This window comes from Homo sapiens, chromosome 5 (genome assembly GCF_000001405.40).
Source record: "Homo sapiens chromosome 5, GRCh38.p14 Primary Assembly".
Classification (NCBI taxonomy): domain Eukaryota; kingdom Metazoa; phylum Chordata; class Mammalia; order Primates; family Hominidae; genus Homo; species Homo sapiens.
Window position 1 is genome coordinate 28,284,234 of NC_000005.10, and position 4,076 is coordinate 28,288,309.

Consider the following 4,076-nt stretch of genomic DNA (forward strand, 5'->3'; position numbering starts at 1 on the left):
TTGGCTCCTCTTGTTTACCAGGAATTGGTATAAGAATCAAGTTCAATTTGACCTCGCAACTTGAAACTAGGAAATGTGTATGACAAGATAAGAGATAGGAGCTAGCACAGAGGGTTAATTGTTTTAATGTCATATTCTGTTTAGGTGAGATTTGGTGTATATTACATTTTGTCATATTTCAAAAGAATAAAAAAGGTAATTGGCAACACATTCAATTATTCTAATTATATGATAGGGATCCTTAATAGATGGTAACCCCTGAAAGTTGTCTGGCTCACCTTTTTCCTTATCTGGCTGACTCTAACATTGCCTAGAGTTAAAATTCAGTTGTCTCTGCCTGTCTTTCCATTTAGACAGGGCTCAACACCATATATCTCATTGACTCCATGTCTTTTATCCCAAGTTTCAAAGGCATCTTCTTAAAATGACCCTGACTGTTTGGTAAAAAGGTTTATTAAAAACGTCAAAGAAGCTAGAAGCAGGTATTTGTGGGTAGGAACATGACTTTCATTCTGAAGTTTAAGGAACTGGGAGCAAGAGGTTATAAGCACCTTTCACATTGCTGTACAATTCCTCTAACTTCCAGAAGTAACTGGCTACTTGATCAAGAACTGAGAGTCCTGGACCTGGTGCCACATAAAGGAGGCTCAGTAGCTTAAACAGGTGGCTTTGGAGTCTCTGTCCCTATCAAAAGATGTGAGGGAAAAGTATGTAGCCTCGTCATAATTACAGAGGTGTCAAATTGGAATTGCTGATAACGCATAATAGGAGCCTTCTCTTGAAGGAGAGATAATTGTGGGTGATCCTCTGACAAAGCATTAAGAAAAAGGAATCTATAATATACATCTCTAATTTAGCATAAAAGAGTCTCTTTTATTGCCCTTTCATTGGTATTGCTACATAAGCTTTTATGTAATGTAAGGCTGCCTTTAAATAGGCATGAACTTTTCACTGTTTCATATGTTTCTCATTGTCACATTATCCTTCTCTTCAAACTCATTTTAATACTAGGTAAAAATTGAGTTTGTTGTTGCTGAACATGGTGTAAAAACCTAGTTACACATCCCTGAATAGTAAGATTTTCTCATATACACATTTTTTTTATAGATGCGAAGAAAAATTAATTGTCCATAAACACTCTTGTGCTCCCTATATGTGACTGCACTGAAACACTCAGTTTTTCTGTTCCTGATTCTTGCTTTATCCATCATTGTGGAGGAGTTTTAAAATACAGTTTATGTGCAGCTACACTTTATTGCATTTCTACCATTATGAGATTAAAAGGCCAATATCATTTTAAAGGTCAAAACTGACAGGTTATTTGCAGTATTTTTATAGTTCTGCATGGGGGAAAAATTAATTTGTTGCATCTGTTCACACTGGAAAAAAAAACTGTCTTTGGGAAACATAGCTGTGAAAGACTTTTTTAAAGGGAAGACTCATAGTTCTGCTTTTTGGAGTACTGCCTATAGTTTCAATAATATTATGAGAGCTAGAACATAAGTGTTAGTAACTAAAAGGTATAAATGTTGTGCCTAATAGTAGGATTATAAAATGCTTAAATTGTCTTTTATCCTGCTATCAATTTTATCTTATCTGTTTGTCCCATAAACATTACATTTTAGCCTTTGTTTCCTAGAAAGTAGAGCACGAGGTAATTCTTACATGCTAATTTTTATTGGTGGCATGAAAATCAGACAAAAGCAAGAATATGAAAAAAGGACAGAAAATAAAAGGTAGGGTTTTATTAAACTGAGCATAGTTTCAAAGAAAACAAATAGGATTTCTCTGTCGTGTGATATGTCTATGAGTTTACTCAGAACCACAGATAGCAGATCAGTTCCTTGAGGGAAGAAGAGAAAGACGCATCTATGTAGTATCTCCAGTCTCTTATTAATAAAAATCTTTGTAGAAAAATAATTCACCAGATCTGGGCCCCTAGGGGCACAGAAGTTCCCAGCTGGACCCGAGTTTAGCCCAGTTGGACTGGATGCTGACGTTGCTACAGCTCATGCTTAGGAGGGCACAACAGTGGCCTTGCCTGAGACCCATTTCTGGGTCCATGACTACTCCGAGACCGCTCCTCGTGTTCAGAGATGAGAGTCAGTCACTGCAGCTAAGGCAGGAAAATGAATGAGATCCAAGTTATTCTGGGTGGTACGTGAACTGAATCTTTATTAGTTTACCCTTCATACCAATTAAATAGCACTTATGCCTTTATATGGTACCCAAAGCTGTTATTAGAAAAAGAGACCCTTGCTTCTTTCTCAGAAAAGAAGGAACAAGTTCAGTTCTTCAAAGTAGTTGTCAATTTCAGTCTCCTCCAGAGACATAAAAAATGTTAGCAAACAAGATGGAGTCCTTGTTACTGCAGGTGGTCCCAGAAGCAAAACTGATATTTATCATCTTCTTCCTTTATCAGTCATTCTAGATTTGACTCACCTTTGGCCAGCACTTGGCTAGTTCTCGCTTGTTCGTCAGATGGAATGATGAGAACTTCATCCTCTTGGTGAGTTAGACTTCAAGTATCTTGCCCTCCTTAAGCTCTGATTGATGATACTGAAAGGAGGGGCCATCTGGGCTTCCTGGGTTGCGTAGTGGCTCAGAAAGCTGTGAAACTCACTGATTTCCTGCTTCAGGACTTACTTCGGTCCTGCATGGATAATATTGAAGATATATGCTTAAAATATTCCTAACTCCAGGACTTGCGCATGTGTTTTCTTCCCCAAGAAAACTATAAAGAGCGAAAATTTTGCTGTAAGCTTTCCTGCGCCCTCTCTCCCTCTCTCCCTTCCCCCTCCCCTAAAACTAAAAGGAATGTTAACTGCCCGTTTTTCTGTGACCAGGGGACCTTATCTATGCTTCCAATTCCAATTCCTTGTAAACATACTTTGTAAAGTCCTAAAAGATCCTGTCTCCTTTGCCATGCCGCTGCAAGGTCATAAAGCAGATAAAACCTAACTTGCAATTCCGGTTTTCCTCAAAATCTAGGACATGTCACAAAATAATTTACTGCCTTTATTTCTTCCTCTGGTAACATCTTCCTGCCGCAGGTATTTCCCGCCTTAAAGAGTTTAAAAGGCAATCACCCAAAACCAACAGTGGCTACCCGTTCGGGACCGGAGGCTTTGTACTTTCACTCTGCCGAATAAAGCCTACAGCTTTTTCTCTCTATCGGTCCATGTCTCTATCATTTGTCACGGGCAGCCGCCACGCCAATTCTTTGGCGTGGCTAGGCAAGAACCTTAGACGTTACAATACGACACATTTAAGGTTATCTCCCTTCTTTTCCTACTGGCCCAGTGGCCGGAGGAACTTAAATTGGCAAGGTGATCGACCAAGATTTTTGGTAAGTGCCCCTTGTGCAATTTGTTTTCTCTATGAACAGAGTTTTGGATCCTACTTACTAAGTGTGTGGTGACAGGAACATATATTTATCTGTAGGTCAGGGAGAAAGATGTTGATAAGGACTATCCTACTTCCACCACTCAGTTCTTAAACTTTTAATTGTTTTTGTCACAGGTCTGTTAACTCTCCTGCTCTCTGTTATAATGTTCAAAAGAACCTTGACCATCTTGATATTCTACAAACGTCATGTTGACCCACTATGTTAAGGATAGATCTGCTAATTCAACCAGGGAAGTAGTAAGTTACATGTATTCTATGTACTCTTACCTGGTGAGAAAGATACAGGCAAACCAGAGGGTAAGATATAAACCTTTCAAATATTAGTTGATCTGCCACACTTGTGATGTTTAAGTGAGTCTAGTGGTCCATCCCCAGGTAATTTTTCTAATTTATGAAATTTGTTTTGTACTTTGAGCCTCCAGCCACTAAAATAAAAAGATGTAACATTTAGTGGGCCTCTTGGATTTTGGAGGGGTTATGGATACTACTCTGACGCTTTACACAGTGTTTTAGAAGGTTGCTGGTTTTAAGTGGAGCAGAGAGCAAGAGAGGGCTCTGCATTTGAACAGCAGCCTACGAATTGGGCATATAATCTTGCAGGTCTGATGGTGCTAGGTGTACCTCAGGCAGATAATAACGCTTGGTGAAATCATGAAAGGTTCCCTACA

The 4,076-nt window shown here is 39.0% G+C and overlaps 1 long non-coding RNA gene across 1 annotated transcript; it reads right to left on the reverse strand.

Annotated features, from left to right (window-relative positions):
• Positions 1-2,155: 2,155 nt before the first annotated feature.
• Positions 2,156-3,432, reverse strand: LINC02103 (long intergenic non-protein coding RNA 2103). The gene is made up of 2 exons (NR_134265.1): positions 3,408-3,432; positions 2,156-2,653 (listed from the first exon to the last, which is right to left on the reverse strand). It is a non-coding gene; the product is annotated as a long intergenic non-protein coding RNA 2103 (long non-coding RNA).
• Positions 3,433-4,076: the final 644 nt, after the last annotated feature.